Source organism: Homo sapiens, chromosome 14 (assembly GCF_000001405.40).
Source record: "Homo sapiens chromosome 14, GRCh38.p14 Primary Assembly".
NCBI lineage: Eukaryota > Metazoa > Chordata > Mammalia > Primates > Hominidae > Homo > Homo sapiens.
The window spans coordinates 39,146,170-39,170,487 of NC_000014.9; the positions used below are offsets into that span (position 1 = coordinate 39,146,170).

A 24,318-nucleotide genomic window follows, 5' to 3' on the forward strand; every position below is an offset into this window, starting at 1 on the left:
CTCCTGACCTCAGGTGATCCGCCCACCTCAGACTCCCAAAGTGCCGGGATTACAGATGCGAGCCACCACACCACCATATACTTTAAATCATCTCTAGGCTGGGTGCAGTGGCTCACACCTGTAATCCCAGCACTTTGGGAGGCTGAAGTGGGCGGATCACCTGAGGTCGGGAGTTTGAGACTAGCCTGACCAACATGGAGAAATCCTGTCTCTACTAAAAATACAAAAAAATTAGCCAGGTGTGGTGACGCATGCTTGTAATCCCAGCTTCTTGGGAGTCTGAGGCAGGAGAATCACTTGAACCCAGGAGGCGGAGGTTGTGGTGAGCTGAGATTGCACCATTGCACTCCAGCCTGGCCAACAGGAGCGAAACTCTGCCTTAAAAAAAAAAAAAAAAAAAAAAAAACTCTAGATTACTTATACCTGCCACATGATCAATACAGAGAGGAAAAAAATTACTTATACCAAGCACACTGTAAATGCTACGTAAATCATTGTCATACTGTAGTTTTAAAATGTGTTTTATATTGTCTTTGGTTTTCTTTTTGTTTTTTGGACATGGAGTCTTACTCTGTCACCCAGGCTGGAGTGCAGTGGCATGATCTCGGCTCACTGCAACCTCCACCTCCACGGTTCAAGTAATTCTCCTGCCTCAGCCTCCTGGGTAGCTGGGACTACAGGCATGTGCCACAACACCCAACTAATTTTTGTATTTTTAGTAGAGACAGGGTTTTGCCATGTTGGCCAGGCTCGTCTTGAACTCCTGATCTCGGGTCATCCGCCCACTCTGGCCTTCCAAAGTGTTGGGATTACAGGTGTGAGCCAGGCCTTGTCTTTGTTTTTTTTTTTTCAAATATTTCAAACCAAGGATGGTTGAATTCTTGGTTGAACCGTCAAGATAGAAAGGGCCGAGTGTATATGGCTTACAAATATTTTCTTCCATCCCTAAGTTGCCTTTTCACTGTCCTTTCTGTGCATCTTATTAGTTTGATGTAGTCCCACTTGTCTATCTCTGCATTTGTTGCCTGCTTTTGGTGTCTTACCCAAGAGATCATTGCCAAGACCAATGTTACGAAGCTTTTCCCCTATGTTTTCTGCTAGAATTGTATAGTTTCAGATTTTACTTTTAAATCTTCAATCCATTTTAAGTTGATTTCTTTTTTTTTTTGGAGACAGAGTCTCACTGTGTCGCCCAGGCTGGAGCGCAGTGGCTCCATCTTGGCTCACTGCAACCTCCGACTCCCGGGTTCAAGCAATTCTCCTGCCTCAGCCTCCCAAGTAGCTGGGACTACAGGCGCCCACCACCACACCCAGCTAATTTTTGTATTTTTTTCAGTAGAGACAGGGTTTCACTGTTTGGCCAGGCTGGTCTTGAACTCCTGACCTCATGATCTGCCCCACCTCGGCCTCCCAAAGTGCTGGGATTACAGGCTTGAGCCACCACACCCGGCCTTAAGTTGATTTCTATGTATGGCATTAAGGCAACAATCCAATTTCATTCTTTTGTATGTGGATGTCCAGTTTTCCCAACACTATTTGTTGAAGAGATTTTACTACATTTCTTTGTTTTATAGTTTTCCTTTATGATTTCCTACATTTGTGTGTTGGAAAGGCCTTCTCCACCACAAAATCACGAAAGTATTATCACATTTTCTTTAGTACTTTATTGTTTTACAAGTGAACCTTTAAGTTTCTCCCCACCTACTCCCGCAGAAAAAGGCATATTCAATTGTCCCATACTAATTTTTGAATAACCTAACTCTCCCTTTGTTTCTACTAAGAGAGGTTTCTTTTTGGCTACAAGTAACAATATACATATACCCAAAGCAAATGGAACAATATAAAGAATATCTCACATAACAAAAAGTCCAAAGGTAAAGCAGTTCCTGGATTGGTTAATTCAGAAGCACAATTCAGGTGCTTTCTATCTACATCCCACTATTCTCAGTGTGATAGCTTTCATCTCCATACTTGTCCTTTCATGGCCATCAGAAGGCTGTTGCAGATTAGCTTCAAACATCCATATCACATATCTTCACTGAGAAGCAGAAGAGGGATGCTGGCAAATCCCTAACTTGTATCAATTGTTAAGAGCAACAGAAAATTTCTTATTCAAAGCCTTCAGACTTCCTTTGTCTCGTTAGCCTAGATTCCATCAAATGATCAAGTAAGCCAATTACCATGATTGGCACAGAATCTAATCAACACTCACCCTCTCTAGGCTAGGGAAGCACCCTATTCTATAGCACAAGGCAGCCATACAGAGTTTTAGGCCAAAAAAAAAGAAAAAAAAAATGGGGCTTTGTCAGCAAGGAAGGGAGAACGAAATGGCTGATGGGTAGGCATATGAATGTCTAACAAACCAACTTATTTGAACCCAGCTTTTTCACACACACAATTCTCACACCTGTTTTATTTTGAAGTTCTCTATTGTGTTCTATTTTGATCTACTTCTGTGTCATTAGCTATTCCTGGGTCATTATGACTTTTAATAAACTTTATACATGTATATTTGGTAGGAACTTTCCTAAATTTTTTCAAAATTAAAATTTTTTCCCCAAAACATGTGAGAATTAGGATTGCAGTCATGCATTGCTTAGCAAAGGGGATACATTCTGAGAAATGCATCATCATTAGGAGATTTTAAAATTGTACAATCACAGAGTGTACTTACACAAACCTAGATGGTATGATCTACTATACACCTAAGCTATGGCCTATTGCTCCTAGGCTACAAACCTGTACAGCATATTATTGTAGTGAATACTGTAGGACACTGTAACACAATGGTAAGTACTTGCATATCTAAACATAAAGAAGGTACAGTAAAAATACAGTATTGTAATCTTATGGAACCACTGCCATATATGAGGTCTGTCACTGACTGAAACATCATTATAGGGCACATAACTAGAATTTAATAAATCAAGTTAAACAAATTATCTTTGTAATACTGTACCCTTCCATGAAAGGAAAATGGTATGCTTCTAACTTGAGTTTTCTTTAATGTCCTAAAGTACATTTTTATAGTTTTTATTTTGTGTTTTTAATATAATGTTTGGTATAGTCAATCTTCTTAATCTGCCATTTCTATGGCAGAGTACCCAGTGAAACATCTTGTTTGGTGTGTCAGTCACCCCCTGCTGCAGAGTTCCCTGTCACACAAATACATGCAAAAGGGTAATAAATAAATGGGAAACAAAGTATAGTTTTAGTAATCAACATGCAAGATTCTAACAAAAGCTGGAGATAACTGCTTATGCCAGATAATTTAAGTAAGAGAAAGTAAGTAGAAGAGGTGGTAAGAAAGATATATCAGATGAGCACTGACCCCAAACCACTAAGATGATATGGTCCAAAGAATGTCAGAATGACTAATTCAATTATCCAACTCTGCTCAGCTGGAAGAGGAAAGAAGGGAATAAAGATGTTAGATCCTTTACCAGGACTTCCATGCACGGGGAGAGAAGTTGAAAGTCAAAACTGTAACAGGAATAAATACAAAAATTCTTTCCAAACATACCTAATATTCTTTGGCCCTAGAGTCACTGAATTCACATTTAAACTAATCTATATTTCATTTTGATTACATTAATGGAGCTCTGAAGGAATGAAACCTATTAAAGAAAAATTAAATTTATAAACAATTTAGGCAGTCATATATGTATTTATATATACACACATACAATGTATATATGAAATCCTTATACAGGTGTAAACATTCTTAATAAATTATAAGCAATAAAATAAAAAAAATTTAGTATGTTTGCTTTTTAAAATAAAACAAATTCATACTTTATCAAAATTTGTTCATTCTTCTCACAAATAATTCTGTTGGTACATAATTTTCTCTCATGCTAATTCAACAAACCCTGAGCTTTGTTTCTCCATCTATGGCTAAATACATATCACTCTAACCAAATAAAAAGGTTTAAAATAAGGGCCCTGCATCTTGGTGTCTGGTTATTTGAAATCCGGTTTTCATTTTGAATAGTTTTGGTTAAGTGTATGTCATGGCAGAATGTCCCTTCATCTCCTTTGATCTGTGTTAAATTGATAAAAATACATGCTTACTCCTGTACAAACATCGAACAATGTAATTAAATCATCACTACTTGAAATACTTTTACATGAATAATTTATCTCTTTACACTGTTGAAGCCTTGCATTTCAGTATGTTCTACAGCTTCTGTATCATCACCTGAAATTTGCCTAAAAAAAAAAATACAAATAATTCTTTGATTTTAGATACAAAGAAAACAAGTCTAAACATCAATTTTCTGTTCCATATAGGAAATAGTTTCAGTCAAGAAATCTGCTATGTCAAAAACTTTTTCGCATTCTTCATAATATTCAATAAAGTCAATTCTATTTTTTCTTTTTTTTTGAGATGGAGTCTTGCTCTGTTGCCCAGGCTGGAGTGCAGTGGCACGATCTCTGCTCACTGCAACCTCCACCTCCTGGGTTCAAGTGATTCTCCTGCCTCAGCCTCCTGAGTAGCTGGGACTACAGGCGTCTGTCACCACGCCCAGCTAATTTTTGTATTTTTAGTAGAGACAGGGTTTCACCTTATTGGCCAGGCTGGTCTCAAACTCCTGACCTCATGATACGCCCACCTCGGCCTCCCAAAGTGCTGAGCTTACAGGTGTGAGGCACCACACCCGGCCAGTCAATTCTATTTTTATGGGATGATTATATGGTTTGTTGAGTAAGCACTTTTGTTTCTCTTTATGAATCCTACATTTGGGTACAGTATTTCATGGCTAATGATCATTGTAAATTGAAAAGAAATACAATAAAGCTCAAGTCCATTTTTTCTTGGTTGGTAGCTCTGGTGAAAAGATCTTTAGGGAGACATTTAGTGATAAAAGAATATTTGGTTTTACTTAGCTTGATATAATAGACATATCCTAAACAATTGTTTAAAAATAGCATTTTCGGGCCGGGCGCGGTGGTTCATGCCTGTAATCCCAGCACTTTGGGAGGCCGAGGCAGACGGATCACAAGGTCAGGAGATGGAGACCATCCTGGCTAACACGGTGAAACCCATCTCTACTAAAAATACAAAAAATTAGCTGGGCGTGGTGGCAGGCAACTGTAGTCCCAGCTACTCGGGAGGTTGAGGCAGGAGAATGGCGTGAACCCGGGAGGTGGAGCTTGCAGTGAGCCGAGATTGTGCCACTGCACTCCAGCCTGGGCAACAGAGCGAGACTCCGTCTCAAAAAAAAAAAAAAAAAAAAAAAATAGCATTTTCAATGTTCTAGGGAAATTTGCTATCTTAAAACACTGCAGGAGATATTCAGAAGAATATCTTTAAAAAAGTTACAGTTTGAATAACTTTAGAAAAGTTAAAAATCATCCCTTAAATTGTCTTATAAATTTGGATTTTAGTCCATTATTCAAAAATTACTGAAAATGAATGTAGTATGCTACATATTACTACACTAAAGTGTTACATTGATAAAACTAAAATGAAAGTTTCAGCATTTTAAATTTCCTCTCAGTTAAATTAAAAAAAAAAACAGACCTGAAAACAAATTACTAAAACATTTGTAAGAAAGGCGAATTCAACTTACAAGCAGGCATTGAAGACACTTCAGCTGTTACAATACTTTTTATTCCCAAGTTTGATAAGCCACCTCTGATTAAGCCACACGTAAATGCTAAATACTAAAAGGAAAAAAAATCATTAAAAATAGTAAGGATTTACTAAAATAGTAAAGCTATTGATAAATACAACATTACATGATTTATCATCAGTAAGTCATTCCTGTTTAAAAAAAGGATTTTGAAGAACTGTTCAAATTACTGAAAAATATTGATATATTTCCCAGCTCCCTGGAAACTAAAGCATGGACGTAGGACTTAAGACTTAAGCTCAGCCAATTAAGTACTCCAGTCCAGGACTGTGAATCTAGACTCAGTGACAAAAACAAGCCAGAAACTGATCAGAATTAGTTCTGGAGGCAGTAAAGGTAGTTTGTGTCTACAGTCCCTGCTGCCTGCAGGATTCTAAGTAGATACAGTCTGCAGAGTGACTTGGCTATCTTACTGGCTGCCTTAACCTCCCCTGGTTATTGCCTATTCTTTGAGCTTATCAATTTTGTTAGCTTACAAGCAGAATTTCTTTCCCCTATTTACAACCAAGAATCTTGACTTGTTCAAGACTTATAGCTTGCCACAACAAAGAATTATCTGGTTGAAAGTATCAACAGTTTGGACGTTGAGAAACCCTGTCATATAGAAACAAAGAAAGGGAATAGGGCTGAGCTACAAAACCAAAAGTCATGACAAGAACTGGATTGAAAAATTAGCAATTCAGGGAATTTTTGATTACCCACATCTATACTGCATGATGTTCAACATACTACATTATCTACGAATAATATAAAATATTATCTTATAAATAATATACATAAATGGGCACTAATAAGTAACTAGATCTGAGTCATGAAATTTTAAGCTGGAAGAGGCCTTAGAGATTGTTCATCCCAAGAGTTCTTAATCGGGGAATTTGTGACCCCTATGAAAATAAAAACCATGTATATGTGCGTATTTATGGGGAAAGGTGTTCCAGTTCTCAAAGATGTCCATAACTCAAAATAGTTAGAAATCACTGAATTGGTCCAACTTACTCTTTTCACAGCTGAAGAAACCAAGATCCCAAAAAGTTAAGTGAGAACCAGAAATATTAAACTAAGAAGTTAGTAAAAAAGAGAAAATATGCCAGGCATGGCCTATAATCCCAGCACTTTGGGAGGCTGTAATCCCAGCATTTTGGGTGGCTTTTGTAATCACGTCTGTAATCCCAGCACTTTGGGAGGCTGTAATCCCAGCATTTTGGGTGGCTTTTGTAATCACGTCTGTAATCCGAGCACTTTGGGAGGCTGAGGTGGGTGGATCACGAGGTCAGGAGTTTGAGACTAGCCTCGCCAACATGGTGAAACCCTGTCTCTACTAAAGATACAAAAAATTAGCCAGGCATGGTGGCGCACACCTGTAATCCCAGCTACTCAGGAGGCTGAGGCAGGAGAATCACTTGAACCCAGGAGGCAGAGGTTGCAGTGAGTCTCACACTCTGTCCGAAAAAAAAAAAAAAGAGAGAAAATATACACATTAACCATAAAAATGTAATTAGAGCCTGGATACCCCAAAAATATAGAAAATAGGCAATCAGGCCGGATGCAGTGGCTCACACCTGTAATCCCAACACACTGGGAGGCCGAGGTGAGGTGATCACTTGAGCCCAGGAGTTCAAGACGAGCCTGGGCAACATCGTGGGATCCCATCTCTAAAAAATTTTTTTAAAAATTAGCCAGGCATGGTGGCCCACACCTGCAGTCCTACCTCCTTGGGTGACTGAAGTGGGAGGATCACTTGAGCCCGGGGGGGTCAAGGTCAAGATAGGCCATGATTGTACCACTACACTCCAGCCTAGATGACAGAGCAAGACCTTGTCTTAAAAAAAAAAAAAAAGTGATCTACCATACATCTACATTTCACTGTCATTTAGTTATAGTGTTTCTTTTTTTTCTTTTTTTTTTTTTTTGAGATGGAGTTTTGCTCTTATACCCCAGGCTGGAGTGCAATGATAGCACGATCTCAGCTCACTGCAACTTCTGCCTCCCGGGTTCAAGTGATTCTCCTGCCTCAGCCTCCCGAATAGCTGGGATTGCAGGCGCTCGCCAGAACGTCCAGCTATTTTTCATATTTTTAGTAGAGAAAGGGTTTCCCCATGCTGGCCAAGCTGGTCTTGAACTCTTGACCTCAGGTAATCCACCTGCCTTGGCCTCCCAAAGTGCTGGGATTACAGGCGTGAGCCATAGCGCCCGGCCAGTGTTTCTTTAATTGGTCACTCTATGACTATTTAGCTACAGTTTAGTGTTATTGTAACATGTCTCTCATTTCATAGAAAACTCTTTAAACAAAAAAGAACACCTTAAAACATATTTTTAATTCAATAGTTTGTTATGATTAGCACTGTACTTTTCCCTGTAGTCCTACTATTAACAAAAACCCCAACTTCTATTCCATTAAATACCTTAGATGCATGTTCTAAATACTGTTTTCCTGCAGACATCTGAGTAAGCAGGCGAAATTTGTTGTCCTGAAGTACATAGATGCCCTGTTCCAAAAATAGAAAAAAAATCCAAAGTCAATGTACCTAGCAGTCCTTAAAATTATTTTATTCTTATGAAACAATTTAAGTGTTTTTTAAAGTTATTAAAAGTCTCCTTCCCATTGGCCAAGTTTTCTTTTTCTGTTCTTTGAGACGGGGTCTCCTCTGTCGCCCAGGGTAGAATGCAGTGGCACAATTACGCCTCACTGCAGCCTCCAACTCCCAGACTCAATCAATCCTCCCACCGCAGGCTCCCAAGTAGCTGGGACTACAGGCGTGCATCACCATGCCCTGCTAATTTTTATATTTCTTGTACAGATGGGGTTTCGCCATGTTGCCCAGGCTGGTCTCAAACTCCTGGGCTCAAGCAATCTGCCCACCTTGACCTCCCGAAGTGCTGGGATTACAGGCATAAGCCCACGTGCCCAGCCTGGTCAAATTTTGTTTAAATGAAGGAGTTTTGCAATGTTCAAGCTGAAGAGTTGCGAGTTCAGTATTTTCACAACACTAATGTATACCGAACGGTTTTATACACTGAAGATAAAAACACTGTCTGAGACATAGTCCCTATCCTTAAAAACTCATAGTCTAGTACGATGGAATCATTAATACATGTCCACATGAAATAAGCTGTTTGTTTGTATAGTTATTTATTTAGACATGAGCTCTCACTCTGTTGTCTAGGCTGGAGTGTGGTGGTGCAATCACAGCTCACTGCACCCTCAAACACCTGGGTGTTTAGCAATTCTCTTGCCTCAGCCTTCCGAGTAGCTGGGACCACAGACACATGCCACCACACCCGGCTAGTTTTATTAATTTTTTGTAGAAAGGGGGTCTCCCTATGTTGCCTAGGCTGGTCTGGAACTCCAGGGCTCAAGTAATCCTCCTGCCTCAGCCTCCCAAAGTGCTGAAATTACATGTATGATCACCACACCCGACCTAATTTTTATTTTTATTTATTTATTTTTTTGAGACAGAGTTTCACTCTTGTTGCCCAGGCTGGAGTGCAATGGCTCGATCTCAGCTCACCACAACCTCCGCCTCCTGGGTTCAAGTGATTCTCCTGCCTCAGCCTCCCAAGTAGCTGGGATTACAGGCATGCGCCACTACGCCCAGCTAATTTTGTATTTTTAGTAGAGACGGGGTTTCTCCATGTTGGCAGGGCTGGTCTTGAACTCCCAACCTCAGGTGATCCACCCGCCTTGGCCTCCTGAAGTGCTGGGATTATAGGCGTGAGCCACCGCACCCGGATTTATTTGTTTATTTGAGACAGAGTCTTGCTCTGTCGCCCAGGCTGGAGTGCAGTGGTGTGATCTAGGCTCACTGCAACCTCTGCCTCCCGGGTTCAAGCAATTCTCCTTCCTCAGCCTCCTGAGTGGCTGGGACTATAAGCGTGCGCCAATATGCCTGGCTAATTTTTGTATTTTTAGTAGAGACAGGGTTTCACCACGTTGGCCAGGCTGGTCTCGAACTCCTGACCTCAGGTGATCTGCCCACCTCGGCCTCCCAAAGTGCTGGGATTACAGGGGTGAGCCACCGCGCCCAGCTTTATTTTTTTAAGAGACAGAATTTTGCTGTTATCCAGGCAAAAGTGTAGTATTTCACTGTATCCTTGAACTCCTCCCATGTAGCTGAAACCTCAGGCACATACCAATATGCCTGGTGAAATTTTTTTCAAGTTTTTTGTAGAAATAGGTTCTAAGTATGTTGCTCAGGCTGGTCTCCAACTCCTGAGCTCAAGCAATCCTTCTGCCTCAGCCTCCCAAAATGCTGCAATTCTAAGCATGAGCCACCATGTCCAGCCAGCTGATATATATTAGTAAATCATGTCTAGAGAGTAAAAAAATCATAGTCATTTCTTCCTATTAGCATTTCCAGTAATTCCAAGCTAAAGTTGGTACAAAATGAATTCCAGGCCAGGCACAGTGGCTCACACCTGTAATCCCAGAACTCTGGGAGGCCAAGGCGGGAGGATCCATTGAGCCCAAGAGTTTGAGACCAGTCTGGAAAACATAGTGAGACACTGTCTCTAATTAAAAATAAATAAATAAATGAATTATCCTATTGAGAGTACCAGATACATTTAATTTTTTACTTAATCAAAATTCCAAATCTACTCTAAGTATTTCCTTGAAGTTCATAAAATAAAATCTAATGAAGCTGGGAGTGGTGGTGCATGCCTATAATCCCAGCTATGCAAGAGGCTGAGGCCAAAGAATTACTTGAGTCCAGGAGCTCAAGACTAGTCTGGGCAACAAAGCGAGACTCTGTCTCCCTTTTAAAATTTTAATAAATACATAGTTTTCTATGTAATCTATTAATTTTGTAGTAAGAAAATCTTTTAAGAGTAGAAAATATGACAGCAGTAATAATCCAGGAGTTATTTAAGAGTAAAATGCTCTATAAATTAGACTTTAGAAATGACTATAAAGAATCTCTTCCTGCCACCCAAGATGCCAAAAGGAAAGGCCAAGAGGAAGGAGGTGGCTCTGGCCCTTGGTGTCATGAAGAAACAGGAGGCCAAGAAAGTGGTGAATCCTGGTTGGGCGTGGTGGCTCACGTCTGTACTCCCAGCACATTGGGAGGCCGAGACAAGCGGATCACTTGAGGTCAGGAGTTCGAGACCAGCCTGGCCAGCATGGTGAAACCCCACCTCTACTAAAAATACAAAAATTAGCCGGAGTGGTGGCACATGCCTGTAGTCCCAGCTACCTGGGAGCCTGAGGCAGAATGGCTTGAACCCAGGAGGCGGAGGTTGTGGTGAGCCGAGATCGCACCATTGCACTCTAGCCTGGGCAACACAGCAAGACTCCATCTCAAAAAAAAAAAAAAAAAAAAGAAAGAAAGAAAGTGGTGAATCCCCTGTTTGAGAAAAGGCCTAAGAATTCTGGCATTGGACAGGACATCCACCCAATATGGACCTCACTCACTTTGTGAAATGGCCCCGCTATATCAGGTTGCAGTGGCACAAAGCCATCCTCTGTAAGCAGCTGAAAGTGCCTCCTACAATTAACCAGTTCACCCAGGCCCTGCACCGCCAAATAGCTACTTAGCTGCTTAAGCTGGCCCACAAGTACAGACCAAAGACAAAGCAAGAAAATAAGCAGAGGCTATTGGCCCGGGCTGAAAAGAAAGCTGCAGGCAAAGGGGATGTCCCCACTAAGAGACCACTTGTCCTCCGAGCAGGAGTTAACACCATCTCCACCTTGGAGGAGAACAAGAAGGCTCAGCTGGTGGTGACTGCACACTATGTGGATCCCATCGAGGTGGCTGTCTTCCTGCCTGCCTTGTGTCATAAAATGGGGGTCCCTTACCGCATTATCAAGGGGAAGGCAAGACTGGGATGTCTAATCCACAAGAAGACCCGCACCACTGTCGCCTTTACACAGATTAACTCAGAGGACAATGGAGCTTAGGTTCAGCTGGTGGAAGCTATCAGAACCAATTACGACAGACAAAACGAAATCCACTGTCACTGGGGAGGCAATGTCCTGGGTCTCAAGTCTGTGGCTTGAATTGTCAAGCAGGAAAAGGCAAAGGCTAAAGAACTTGACACCAAACTGGGTTAAACATACACTGTTGAGTTTTCTGTATATAAAAATAATTAAAATAATCCAAATTCTTCTTCTTCAAAAAAAAGAAATGACTCTAAAGACATAAAGGTGATATATTTGTGGTTCTGCATATTATTACCACTAATTAACAGTAACTAAGGAACCAAATAGTAAAAGCTATTCTCATCCTGACTTATGCTACTTTAAAAAACTTAACATAGCATATAATTGGGTGAAAGGAACAGCTATCATTACTGATAACTGTCCCTTTGTCTTTACTCAGTTCACACTATTAGAAGAAAAAAACTAATAACTCATTAATAACATAAACATATTCCAAAGTTAACCAGAAATTATTTTAGGTTTTAAATAAGTCACTAAAATACGATATTTATATCAAGTTAAAGGACTTTAAAATATAGGCCTTAATTAATTTAATTACCTGATGATTTGTCCTTAGATTGTCGATTTGTTTCTTGAATACCGTAGTCCAAAAATCTTTACAAATGAACTTCATGATATCTAACTCATCCTTGAACCTTGCAGTATCTTTTGTAAACCTAAAAAGATCAACTAGAAGTAATACAGTATTTCTCCTCCAAAAAAAGCAAGAGGGACTAATTATTAACTAATTTCCAAATGCCAGAACAGCACTGAACATTTATTGGGTTTTTTAATTTTAATTTTTTTTTTGAGACAGATTCTGGCTCTGTCGCCCAGGTTAGAGTGCAATAGCATAATCTCGGCTCATTGCAACGTCTACCTCCCTCCCAGGCTCAAGCTATCCTCCCACCTCAGCCTCCCTAGCAGCTGAGACCACAGGCACATGTCACCATGCTCAGCTAATCTGTATATCTTTGTAGAGACAGGGTTCCACTTTGTTACCCTGGCTGGTCTCAAACTCCTGAGCTCAAGAGATTCTCCCACCTTGGCCTCACAAAGTGCTGGGATTACAGGCATGAGCCACCACACCTGGCTGAACATTTATTAACACTAATAAAGTCATAAGCACCAGGTAACATGATCCTATCTCAATGGATTCACATTATGTTATATAAATTATGAGGCCTCAAATTAGTCTAACATTATAGCCAAAATTTCAGGTGCAATGCATTCTAGCACATCAAAAAACCACAAAAGAACAAAGAGCTGAGCATTATCATGACATTGTTATATAAAATATACTCCGAGTTTAACTATTCAGGTAGTGAGAAAGAAATACTAAAAAGAACTGATTTATAAGTTCAAAGATAATTACACGCATAAACATAGACTATAGTTATTTCAAACCTATGTACTTAAAAATTCTATGCAGGTTAAAGAACCTAGCAGATCTTAAGTTGAAAATGCAGTAAGATTTTAGATAGTTGCTTCAATAGCTTCAGGAATAAAGTCTAAAATAGCTTCAGGAAGAAAGTCTAAAATATATAAAATATATATTTTCTTTAAACATTAAAATAAAATTTGAATAAATGAGTTAAATGGCATTGGATCTAAAAAGAAATTTTAATTTTTGAAGTAAAGAGAATAACATTCAGGAATTAAAATTAAAATATCCCAAGTTTTATGCAATCTTTTGAAATAGATCACCTTTGTTTATAACCTACCTGCAAGAAAATTTTCAAATCCAACCTGCTCACCTTTCTATCAATCCTTGTCCCACTCGAAACCCCATGTTTTCCAGCTTAGTAATACATCGTCCGTTTTCCTATTTTAAAAAACAATAGTTTTAAATACTTTTAGAATGCTAGGATGTTAGTATTCAGAAATTGTTTTACAAGATTGGTTAAAAATATTAATGTAAACATTTATACTTTTTTCCCTGAAACAGTTTAAGAAAAAGTGAATTATAAGGTTGATTTTATTTATTTTACTTTACTTTTACTTACTTTACTTTTTACTTTTTTTTTGATAAACAAGTTAATTCATAATTTAGTCAACATATACATGATTAACCTAAAAACTTCAATAGAAGGATACATTTTTTTAATTTATTTTGAGATGGAGTCTCGCTCTGTCATCCAGGCTGCAGTACAGTGGGGCCATCTCGGCTCACTGCAACCTCCATCTACAGGGTTCAAGTGATTCTCCTGCCTCAGGTTCCTAAGTAGCTGGAATTATAAGCACCCACCACCATGCCTGGTTAATTTTTGTATTTTTAGTAGAGAAAATACAAAAATACAAAATGTTGGCCATGCTGGTCTCAAACTCCTGACCTCAAGCAATCCACCTGCCTTGGCCTCCCAAAGTGCAGGGATTACAGGCGTGAGCCACCGCGCCCAGACAGAAAGATACATTTTAAAACCACTTGGAAGGCCATCTCTATAGAAGTGATTTTCCCAGGATAGTAACCAGATGTAACCTAACCCAACACCATCTTAACTGTCAGAGGTTCAATGGGTTAAAGCTTTGTGCTCCTCCCTGACACCAAGTCTTTTAATAGAAACAAACCCCTCAAGACACGGTGGCTCATGCCTGTAATCCCAGCACTTTAGGAGGCCAAAGCAGGAGGATCACTTGAGCTCAATGGCTCAAGACCAGCCTGGGCAACATAGCAAGACCACATCTGTACTAAAAGTAAAAATAAAATAGCTGGGCATGGTAGCATGTGCCATTTTGGAGGCTGATGCAGGTGGATTGCTTGAGTCCAGGAAGTTGAGGCTGCACTGAGCCATGATCATGTCATTGCACTCCAGCCTGGGCAACAGGTTGAGCAAGGGACCCCATGAAAGAAAGAAAAGAGAAGAGAAGAGAAAGAAAAGAAAAGAAGAGGGGAGGGGAGGGGAGGGAAGGGAAGGGAAGGGAGAAAGAGAGAGAGAAAGAGACAGAAACAGAGAGAAAAGAGAAAGAAAATAATTTCACTATTGTTTTCTCTTAGAAGAGGAGAAAAATCCAACCTACTTAGGAGACCAACCACAACACAATGAAAAGTTGCACTAACTACTTCAGAATATTAGTAACAGCCGATGTTGGTAGGAATAACTGGTATTTATTCTAGAGTTCTTATAAATAAAATCCCACAGTTAGCATCTGCATTATCATCTAGAGGGTTAGTTAACACGTAGTAGAATGAGGACTTATGCAAGGTGTAATACACATAACATTTTACTACTATGAAAACAAATGCAGTCCAGTTAGGAGAAAACCAAGTGGATTCTAAGTTATACACACCTTAATGACAAGACTCCCCACCATTTGCGAATGTAAAAGAATTAATTTTTGAATGTTGACACTACAATATTTAAAATAGCTATTATAAATGCACATAATGTACTCCATGCTAGGTTTTTATTTCTTTGTTTGTTTAAGGAAACTGCAAGTTATACTGTGGTTAAGGCTTGTATCTTCACCCTTGAAAAGGCCCACATTCTATCACAGTAATGTATGGTCAGACTTAGCTCCAAATGTTAAACACTTGGATCAAGTAATAACCAGTTATATTGCAAAAGGAACCTATACACATTTATTTATCAACTCTAGTTCCTTAATAGCTACCTAACAAGTCATTAACTTACAGAAACATGCGTCATGAGAATGAAAAAATGTCACCCATCCCTTCTGCGTATTAGCAACTTGTCACTCCTGAGCAACAGTGCTTACGTCACTGAGGTCTATGAACAGTCACTTTTCACATTCATCCCAAAAGACGGAATGACTTAAGCACAAATGCAACATATTATAAATAATTTCTCCCCAAAAAGTCACAAATTAAACCAAAGTATTTTACAGAATTCATATAAAATGCCTTAAAATCTGCCTTCACTTAAGCTCGCTCACTCCGTGTCTGGCGAGCCAACTGGATGTCTTTGGGCATGAGAGCCAACTCTCTTACCGTAGATGGCACACAAATTAGCATCTTCAAACCAACCCACCAGGTACACTTCACTAGCCTCCAGGTACACTTCACTAGCCTCCTGCAGCACCCCAATGACTGTGCTCTGAAACCTAAAGTTGGTTTTGAAATCCTGGGTGATCTCTCTCACCAACCTCTAGAAAGGCAGCTTCCAGATGAGAAGCTAGGTCAATTTCTGGTAACGAGAATCTCTAGAAGTGCCACAGTCCCAGGCCCGTAGCGATGAGGTTTCTTCACCAGACCGGTAGAGGGGACACTTTTTTTCTGGCAGCGTTAATAACCTGCTGTTAGGAGGAGGGGCTCCCACCAGTGGATTTACAAGCACTTGTCTTGGCTTGGGCCATCTGCTTCTACCTAACATCAAAGTTTTAGGTCACTTCTTCAATCGCCACATTGCTTCTGCTGCCCAAGGAAAAACCGCAGTGTCCAAGCTAAGAATAGACGTTCCTCCAACAAAAGACCAAACTGCTATTTACTTATTTATTTGACAAGTCTTGCTCTGTCGCCCAGGCTGCAGTGCACTGGCGAGATCATGGTTCATTGAAGCTTTAAATTCCTGGGTTCAAGCAATCCTCCCACCTCAGTCTCCCAAGTAGCTAGGACTACAGGCACATCACCATGCCTGGCTATTTTTTTTTTTTTTAAGAGATGGGATCTCACTCTGTTACCCAGGCTGGTCTCAAAGTCCTGACCTCAAGATATCCTCCTGGCTTGGCCTCCCAAAGCTGTGGGACTACAGGTGTGAGCCACTGCACCTGGCACAAGGCAACAGGATAAACAGGGAACTACTGCTTATAATTGATTTTCAGAAATCAAATCCTCTTCCTAATTACTCCTCGTCTCCCTTTTATCCCAATTTCAATCATTCTTCTCTCCTAGGTTATAAAACCTGGTATCACCTTTGATGTTTTTCCCTGAGTCATTTGCTTTCTGCTCTAAGTTCTATTGTTCCTTGCTTCAAAATGTCTCAGAATCATCCAGGCTTCCCAGTTCTCAGTGTCTTAGCTGATTATCACACTTTGCCTTAAATCATGAGATTGCTTTGCTCTTTCTTTGACAATCTCATTCAATCTTAAGGCTTGAAATAGTACCTCTATGCTGAACACATCCAAATCCTATGGATGACTGATGGACTGTCCTCTACAATCCAGACCCCATACCTCTCTGGCTTCAACCTTCTGCAGATGCACTCTGCCCCGTCCCTTAAACATGCCAGGCACATTCCAGGGGCTTTTGCATCAACTCTTCCTCCAGATAGTCACACAACCAACTCCCTCACTTCCTTTGAGTCTACTCTCATGTCACCATCTTAGGCCCATTTTAACCATCTTCTTTAAAAGTGCAACATCATACCCCTTTGGCAACTCTCTATCCTAGTGATTTTAAAAATGTGTTGGCTGGGTGTGGTGGCTCACATCTGTAATCCCAGCATTTGGAAGGCTGAGGTGGGCGGATCACGAAGTCAGGAGATCGAGATCATCCTGGCTAACACAGTGAAACCTCATCTCTACTAAAAATACAAAAAATTAGCCGGGCATGGTGGCACATACCTGTAGTCCCAGCTACTCAAGAGGCTGAGGCAGGAGAAACGCTTGAACCCAGGAGGCAGAGATTGCAGCGAGCCGAGATCATGCCACTGCACTCCAGTCTGGGTGACAGGGCGAGACTTCATCACCAGAAAAAAAAAAAAAAAAAAGACCAGCAACATCAGCATCACATGGGAACTTGCAAATTCTCTAGTCCCACTCCCAATTTACTTAATCAGAAACTCTGGGTATGGGGCCGCTAATCAGCTTTAACAAACCTTCTAAAAATTGATTTTGATACTCAGTCCCACTTCCTTGCTTAATCTGTCTCCACAGAACTTCTTTCACCATTTAATATACCATACATTTTACTATTTTATATTGCCCATGTGCCCCTTGTTCCCCTCTCTGCTAAAATAAAGCTCCAAAAAGGCAGGGATTTTTGTATATTCTGAAGGCTGTTTGTCTCCCACTAAGGAAACCATAGGGCTTATTATTTGCTAAACTTTCTTCTAAGGAACCATGCACTCTGCTTATGGTGCTGTGACTATTAAATCTGCGTTTCTAGTACAGACTTTATTGGGCATAGACATCTAGTGGTCCCACAGGACCTTCGAAGTATGCATATTCAAATGATATTCATTTTATTAATGTCTTCAGCCTGCTCTGCCTCCAAAATTTCCTAACTTCATTAATGGCACCACCATTCACCTAGTTACTCCAACCAGAAAACTTCCATTTTCTTCACCCCTGTGCTCCCAACCCCCCATACACTGTAGTCCGGTGGAGCCTATCTTTTACAAGCTTTTCAAAATTCATCGTCTCTCTCTACCCTTACTTCTTAAGTAAAGCCTTATCATTTCTCTCCTGGTTTTTAGCTATAGCTTTCCAACTGGTCTTGTCTCATTTTTTCCTACTTTGTGTCATCTTCTATATTTCTGGTAGTGTAACTTCTACTAAAGTAAATTTCTAAAAAAAATCATGTTATTCTCGGCCGGGCATGATGGCTCACGCCTCCTAGCATTTTGGGAGGCCGAGGCAGGCGGATTACCTGAGGTCAGGAGTTCGAGACCAGCTTTACCGACACGGAAAAACCCCATCTCTACTAAAAACATAAAACATTAGCTGGGCATGGTGGCGCATGCCTGTAATCCCAGCTACTCGGGAGGCTGAGGCAGGAGAATTGCTTGAACCCAGGAGGCGGAGGTTGCAGTGAGCCAAGGTCACCCCATTGCATTCCAGCCTGGGCAATAACAGTGAAACTCTGTCTAAAAAAAAAATCATGTTATTCTCTACTGGAATTTCAGCACCTGCTCCCCTTTCTTCAAAATAAAGTCCAGGCCTGATGTAGTGACTCATGCCTGTAAATCCCAGTACATTGGGAGGCCAAGGATTGCTTGAGCTTAGGAGTTCGAGGGCAGCCTGGGCAACATAGTGAAACCTCATCTTTAAAAAAATTACAAAAATTAGGTGAACATGGTGGCATGCACCTATAGTCCCAGCTACTTGGGAGGCTGAGGTAGGAGGATGGCTTGAGTGCAGGAGGCAGAGGTTTCAGTGAGCCAATATCTAGCCACTGCACTCTAGACCGGGCAACAGAGTGAGATCCTGTCTCAAAACAAACCAACAAACAAACAAAAAATAAAGTCCAAACTCCTTAGCATGGCATCATGGTATGTCCTTTCCTTAAAGACTCCTGGCTAGTTAACCAAATTCACAAACATCCTTCCCTTTTACCACTCTGAAATTTCTGCAGCAACTCCAGAGTGCCATGTTCTCTTCTGTCTCCCTGCCTTTTTATGTGCTATTCCCTAGACTTCACATTCTTTTTTTTTTTTTTTTGAGACGGAGTCTCGCTCAGTTGCCCAGGCTGGAGTGTAGTGGCGTGATCTCGGCTCACTGCAAGCTCTGCCTCCCAGGTTCACGCCATTCTCCTGCCTCAGCCTCCTGAGTAGCTGGGACTACAGGCGACCGCCACCACGCCCGGCTAATTTTTTGTATTTTTAGTAGAGATGGGGTTTCACCATGTTAGCCAGGACGGTCTCGATCTCCTGACCTTGTGATCCGCCCGCCTCGGCCTCCCAAAGTGCTGGGTTACAAGCGTGAGCCACCGCGCCTGGCATTCACATTCTTTAAATTCTGCTCAAGTATTACATTCTCCCAGATGGCTTCCCTGAAACTTCCTTAGGCCCTATGCTGTCGTAAAATTCTGTACATACATCTATTACTGTACGTATCACTATCTTCAGTTTTTCTGCTATTCTCCACACTTCTCAAACATGCTTAGGATGAGGCCAGGCGCAGTGCTCATGCCTATAATCCCAGCACCGTAGGAGGCTGAGGCAGGAGGGTCACTTGAGACTAGGAGTCTGAGACCAGCCTGAGCAACATAGCAAGACTCTGTTTCTACAAAAAAAAATTTTTTTAATTAGCTGGACATGGTAGCATGCCCATAGCCCTAGCTATTCGAGAGGCTGATGTGGGAGGATCACTTAAGCCCAGGAGGTCAAGGCTGCAGTGAGCCAAAGTCCCAACACTGCATTTCAGCCTGCATGACAGAGCAAGACATTGTCTCTCTCTCTCTCTCTCTGTTTTTTTTTGAGACTGAGTCTTGCTCTGTCACCCAGGTTGGAGTGCAGTGACACAATCTCGGCTCAATGCAACCTCCGCCTCCTGGGTTCAAGTGATTCTTCTGCCTCAGCCTCCCGAGTAGCTGGGACTACATGCGTGCACCACCACACCCAGCTATTTTTTGTATTTTTAGTAGAGACGGAGTTTCACCATGTTGGCCAGGCTGGCCTGGAACTCCTGTCCTTGTGACCTGCCTGCCTTGGCCTCCCAAAGTGCTAGGATTACAGGCCTGAGCCACCGTGTCCAGCCTCTTTTTTTTTTTATTTAAATAGAGACACTGTTTCACTATGTTGCCCAGGTTGGTCTCCAACTCCTGGGCTCAAGTAATTCTCCCACCTCAGCCTTCCAAAGTGCTGGGATTTACAGGTGTGAGCCACCACACTAACCCAGAGACTTGTCTCTTAAAAAAAAAAAAAACAAAAAAACAAGTTCAGCTAGAATAAGTGTCTGTAAATCATGATGCTCTTTTTGGAATAATCTGCTCTCTGTAGAATCACCTAGGAACATATTTATTAGCAGGAACTATTGAAACCACCTTTGCAAAGATTGTAACAGTAAGAAAATCATGACTGTAAAAGAGATCTCACCTAATCAACTCCATCTTGCCTTTAACCTCCAAGCTGCCCTTGGTCATTTCTGGATGCAGCCCAAGCTAACTTTGGGAGAAATTTAGTTTATAGTGTAAGCTTAAAGCAAGAATGATAATAGCCCTTCCCGAAACTAAATCACCTTTGCAAAACTAATGAAAGACTATAAGGTTAGGCTTATGAGAGGGGTCTGAATTCTGCTAAAATGTAGGTAGTTAAATGATAATCAGACATTATTCTGGAAGTCACAGATTTGTAACTTCCCCAATTACTCCTGTAAATAATATCACTATTGTAGAACCTAAAAAAGGCCTTTTGAGATGTCTTTTCAGACTTTTGCATTTCGGATGACTCCAACTGGTCCTCTGGCCCCCACCTCTGTAACTGCATCCCCAACCAACCAGGAGCACCCATTCCCCAGCCCCCAGCCTACCAAACTATCCTTGATAAACCCTAGACTCTGCATGTTTGGGGAGGCTGATTTGAGCAATAATAAAACTCTGCTCTCCCATTTAGCAGCTCTACATAAACTCCTTATTGCAATTCTCCTGTCTTGATAGATCAGCTCTACCTGGGCAGTGGGGAAGAAGAACCCACTGGGCAGTTACAATATGCTTATATGCAGACACTTTCAAATCCTATGATCACATGAGCTTTTGAATTAAGCCCTACTACTTAATTTTGCTACTTGTTCATGCACTTTTGAGTAGGCACCAAATTTTTAAGAAAAATTCAACTTGAGAACATTTTATCCATTAGCCTTTCAAAATCCATTCACCATAAATTGAGAAATGCCCAATTAGTCCATTTTAAGAGAATTCCTCTTTAAGCATAGTTTGAAAAACCTTGATTTGGAGGGTTAGAACACTGTTTCTTTCTTTTATCTCACCTCAAGTCTTATGGAAGTTTATTTTGCTATACTGAAAATTTATAAAACTTTATTTCATTTAAAAAAACTTTCCATAACAAAAACAAAAAAAAAGACACATAATCCTGTCAGCGAGAAATGGATTTTATAGGTCTTTTCAGACATAAACAACATAGTTTTTACAGATCTTTTTATGTCTGAAAAAAATCTCTAAAAATCACCTCTGGATGACAGGATTATGTATCTTTTACATTTTTCATGATGAAAAATTTCAAGCACACTCAAAGTATGGACACTAATGTGAACCCTTATATACCCGTATTTCAGTATGGGTTCTGATTATGAAGACTACCACATAACTGTTATTTATATAATTTTTGCTTATTATGTACTTTCAATTTTCCCCCCCATCATAAATACACTGCAGTAGAAAAAGAAAGTTATTTTTAGCTTAAATGATTCAAAACTATGAACTTCCTTTCTCTTGTATGTTAGTCCATCTCTTAAAATTATCAGGCCTGAGTAGAACAGCTCTGTTCATTTTATTTAGGATTAACCCACGGGAAAAAAAAAAGATATTTTAAAAAGAAGAAAAAATATTATTCTAGACAAGAGTCAGAAAAGGGCCAGGCGCAGTGGCTTACGCTTGTAATCCCAGCACTTTGGGAGGCCAAGGCGGGCAGATCACCTGAGGTCAGAAGTTCAAGAACAGCCTGGTCAACAGGGTGAAACTCCGTCTCTACTAAAAATACAAAAAAATTAGTCAGGCATGGTGGCCGGCACCTGTAATTCCAGATACTCAGGAGGCTGAAGCAGGAGAATCGCTTGAACCCAAGAGGCGGAGGCTGCAGTGAGCTGAGATCACACCACTGCACTCCAGCCTGGGAGACAAGAACAAAACTCCATCTAAAAAAAAAAAAAAAGAGAGAGAGAGAAGAGGAAAGGTAAGAAGGGAGGGGAGAATGAAGAGAACTGAATACGCAAGTGGTTTGGGGGGATCGGGGGTTATGACAAAAAAGTAAAAGGGGTGTGTTAACTGTTCTAGAGGGAAAAGGAAGGCTAGCTTTGCACAAACAGTAAACCTTGAGGTCAATAATAAAGTCAGAAGTTTGTGACTTGAAAAAAATCTCTATTATAGATGGGTCATTTGAATAAGAATAGAATTCGCTTCATTTCCAATAACCTTCCAAATGTATCCTGCCTATCCTTCTTGTGCAAACTGGCAGTACCTTTTTTTGGATGTCATACAGGCACCTCAAAAGTTCAACCTGCCCCGAAATAACTCATTATCTTACCTCCTTATTTTTTTCTTCTCCTTTATTTCCTTTTCTGATTAATAGTACCACCATCCAACCCAGCTGCTCAAGCTGAAAACCTGACGATAATTTTCAACTCCCACTCCCATCCTTAAACAAGGCCTACAGAATTCCACTTTCTAACTTTCAAATCTGTTATCTCCTTTTCTCACTATCCCTGTCTTAATCCAGATCTTCATCTCCTCCTGCAGTGACTCCCGTAATAAAGGATTTTCCCCCTACAAGGATCTTCCCTCTCTAGCCCAAACACTGGATTACTTTTCTAAAATGCAAATGGTCCACATCATTCCCTTCCTTAAAAATATTCCCTCGAAAAGATCCGAATTCTTTAATTACACAAAGCTTTCTAACTTCACCTCTCAATTCTTCTCACTCTCTATTCAGTCTAGTCCAAAGAAATGCTTAAGTGTATTTAAATCCACCACTCTTTCATACCTCTACCACTTTATCTTTGCCTAGGATACATTTCCTATCCCCACTCTCCACTCATTTTTTATCAATAGCATTAAAGAAAGGGCTCCTGACTTGAGCATGACTTTGGAGTATTTCTAAAATCCGTTACAACTCCATGATTCTACCAGCCAATACTCAGTGTTAACTATTCATTAAATCACTATTCCCTAAATACTGTGAGGCAGGAGTATTATTTTATTTAATTTATCTAGCAGTGTCAGCAGTGACAGGCCCACAATGATTGAATAAGGACTCCCACATATTAGAAGTAACCGCTACATACTATCACATTTCGGATTAAATTAGATTAAAAAAAAATCTCTACAAGGATGGGGCCATTGTTTCATTCACTACTATATCCCTGGCACCTAGAAATCGCTCTGACATAAGGGCACTAAATAAATACTTTCTGAAATAATTAATTTAAATTATGTTCCCTAATTATCCTAACGCCTGCAAACTTTCCTTTGCAAACTCAACCTTCATTAGGCTTCAGGTCTCAAGTTGTGTGGAGTTGTACTGAGCATTAGGAATGAGGAAGGAGGGACAGGCTTCTCAGGTTGGCACAGGTCTGTCCAGTGCATGGCTCAAGTGCTGGAAGTGCCAGCAAAACTAAGTAGGCTCTGCAGTTAACCCTCTCGTAAATAATGGCAGGGACAACACTAAAAGTACCAAAATCTGTGGCGTGCAAGACAAACGTACGGGAATAGACAAAAGAGAATCAAATAGAAGAAGATACGAAAGAGAAAACGATGAAAGATGACGGTTCAAAGGAGACAACTGACAGGTTCTAGGGTTTAGGACACCTGGAGGTGGACCATTTTGTGTACACCTCGGGAGGCGTCGGGTGGCGATGGGACAGGGGTTGAAGGAAAGCACTGAGGGGAAACAAGGTGTGTCACCGCAAAAGGACCTCAAGGTTGTGTGGCAGCACTCACCACCTCCCCCTGCTCCGCGGACTTGTACACTCCAGACACCATCTCGTTATGGAGAAGCAAAAACAACGCCTCATCCGCCATTTCCTGCTAATTCTTCCAAGCTTCGAGTTTTGGCTCCCGTTTGAGCTGGTCTGGGGGTTCCAGCTCGCGCCTCAGCGACTTCGCCGGCGCCGCGGCTCCGTCAGGCCGCCATTCTATCCCTGTGGCTAAGAGACCGAGGTATTCACACGACTTCCCAAAGGCTGGTACTGAAATGAGTCTGGTACTGGAGAGAGCCCACACTTCGGGGCTACCAAATCCTAGGGCCGAACTAAAGTCTGACGGGAGCTCTAACCAAAGCCAACCAGCTGAGATGCGATCCGGCCGCTGGGCGGGGGCGAAAAAAACAACTTCCGGTCCCCTCTACCCCGGCATTCGGCCAGCTCTATGATCACTGAGTTCCTCTCTCCCAAGCCCGGAGAGGCCAGCGCCCA

At 41.0% G+C, this 24,318-nt stretch overlaps 1 protein-coding gene and 1 pseudogene across 2 annotated transcripts, besides 2 other annotated features; one reads left to right on the top strand and one right to left on the bottom strand.

Moving 5' to 3' along the window:
- Window positions 1-1,644: 1,644 nt before the first annotated feature.
- TRAPPC6B (trafficking protein particle complex subunit 6B) lies at window positions 1,645-24,164 on the bottom strand. Of its 2 annotated transcripts, NM_001079537.2 has the most exons (6): window positions 23,846-24,164; window positions 13,314-13,381; window positions 12,116-12,233; window positions 8,042-8,125; window positions 5,577-5,670; window positions 1,645-4,212 (listed from the first exon to the last, which is right to left on the bottom strand). In NM_001079537.2, exons 1-6 carry the CDS (start codon window positions 23,924-23,926, stop codon window positions 4,181-4,183), a joined length of 477 nt encoding a protein of 158 aa, NP_001073005.1. In that variant the 5' UTR covers window positions 23,927-24,164; the 3' UTR covers window positions 1,645-4,180. The 2 variants fall into 2 exon arrangements, with proteins under 2 accessions (NP_001073005.1, NP_803235.1); NM_177452.4 differs by lacking the exon at window positions 8,042-8,125.
- On the top strand, window positions 10,953-11,747 carry RPL7AP2 (ribosomal protein L7a pseudogene 2; annotated as a pseudogene).
- Window positions 23,622-24,211: an enhancer, noted in NCBI's record as "H3K27ac hESC enhancer chr14:39638995-39639584 (GRCh37/hg19 assembly coordinates)". NCBI's record gives its function as "activates a minimal SCP1, AML or CMV promoter by ChIP-STARR-seq in naive H9 embryonic stem cells {active_cell/tissue: H9 hESC(naive)}" and the evidence as "EXISTENCE:reporter gene assay evidence [ECO:0000049][PMID:30033119]".
- Window positions 23,971-24,020: an enhancer, noted in NCBI's record as "active region_8286". NCBI's record gives its function as "activates an Ori minimal core promoter by ATAC-STARR-seq in GM12878 lymphoblastoid cells {active_cell/tissue: GM12878}" and the evidence as "EXISTENCE:reporter gene assay evidence [ECO:0000049][PMID:35858748]".

Bases quoted from the DNA above. Each gene is read 5' to 3' on its own strand.
- TRAPPC6B (NM_001079537.2), bottom strand. From the start codon at position 23,926: ATGGCGGATGAGGCGTTGTTTTTGCTTCTCCATAACGAGATGGTGTCT. The intron at 8,126-12,115 runs GTAATTAAATTA...TTTTTGGAACAG, and splicing joins ATCTAAGGACAAATCATCAG to GGCATCTATGTACTTCAGGA. The intron at 4,213-5,576 runs GTAAGTTGAATT...TTTTTTTTTTAG, and splicing joins AGTGTCTTCAATGCCTGCTT to GCAAATTTCAGGTGATGATA.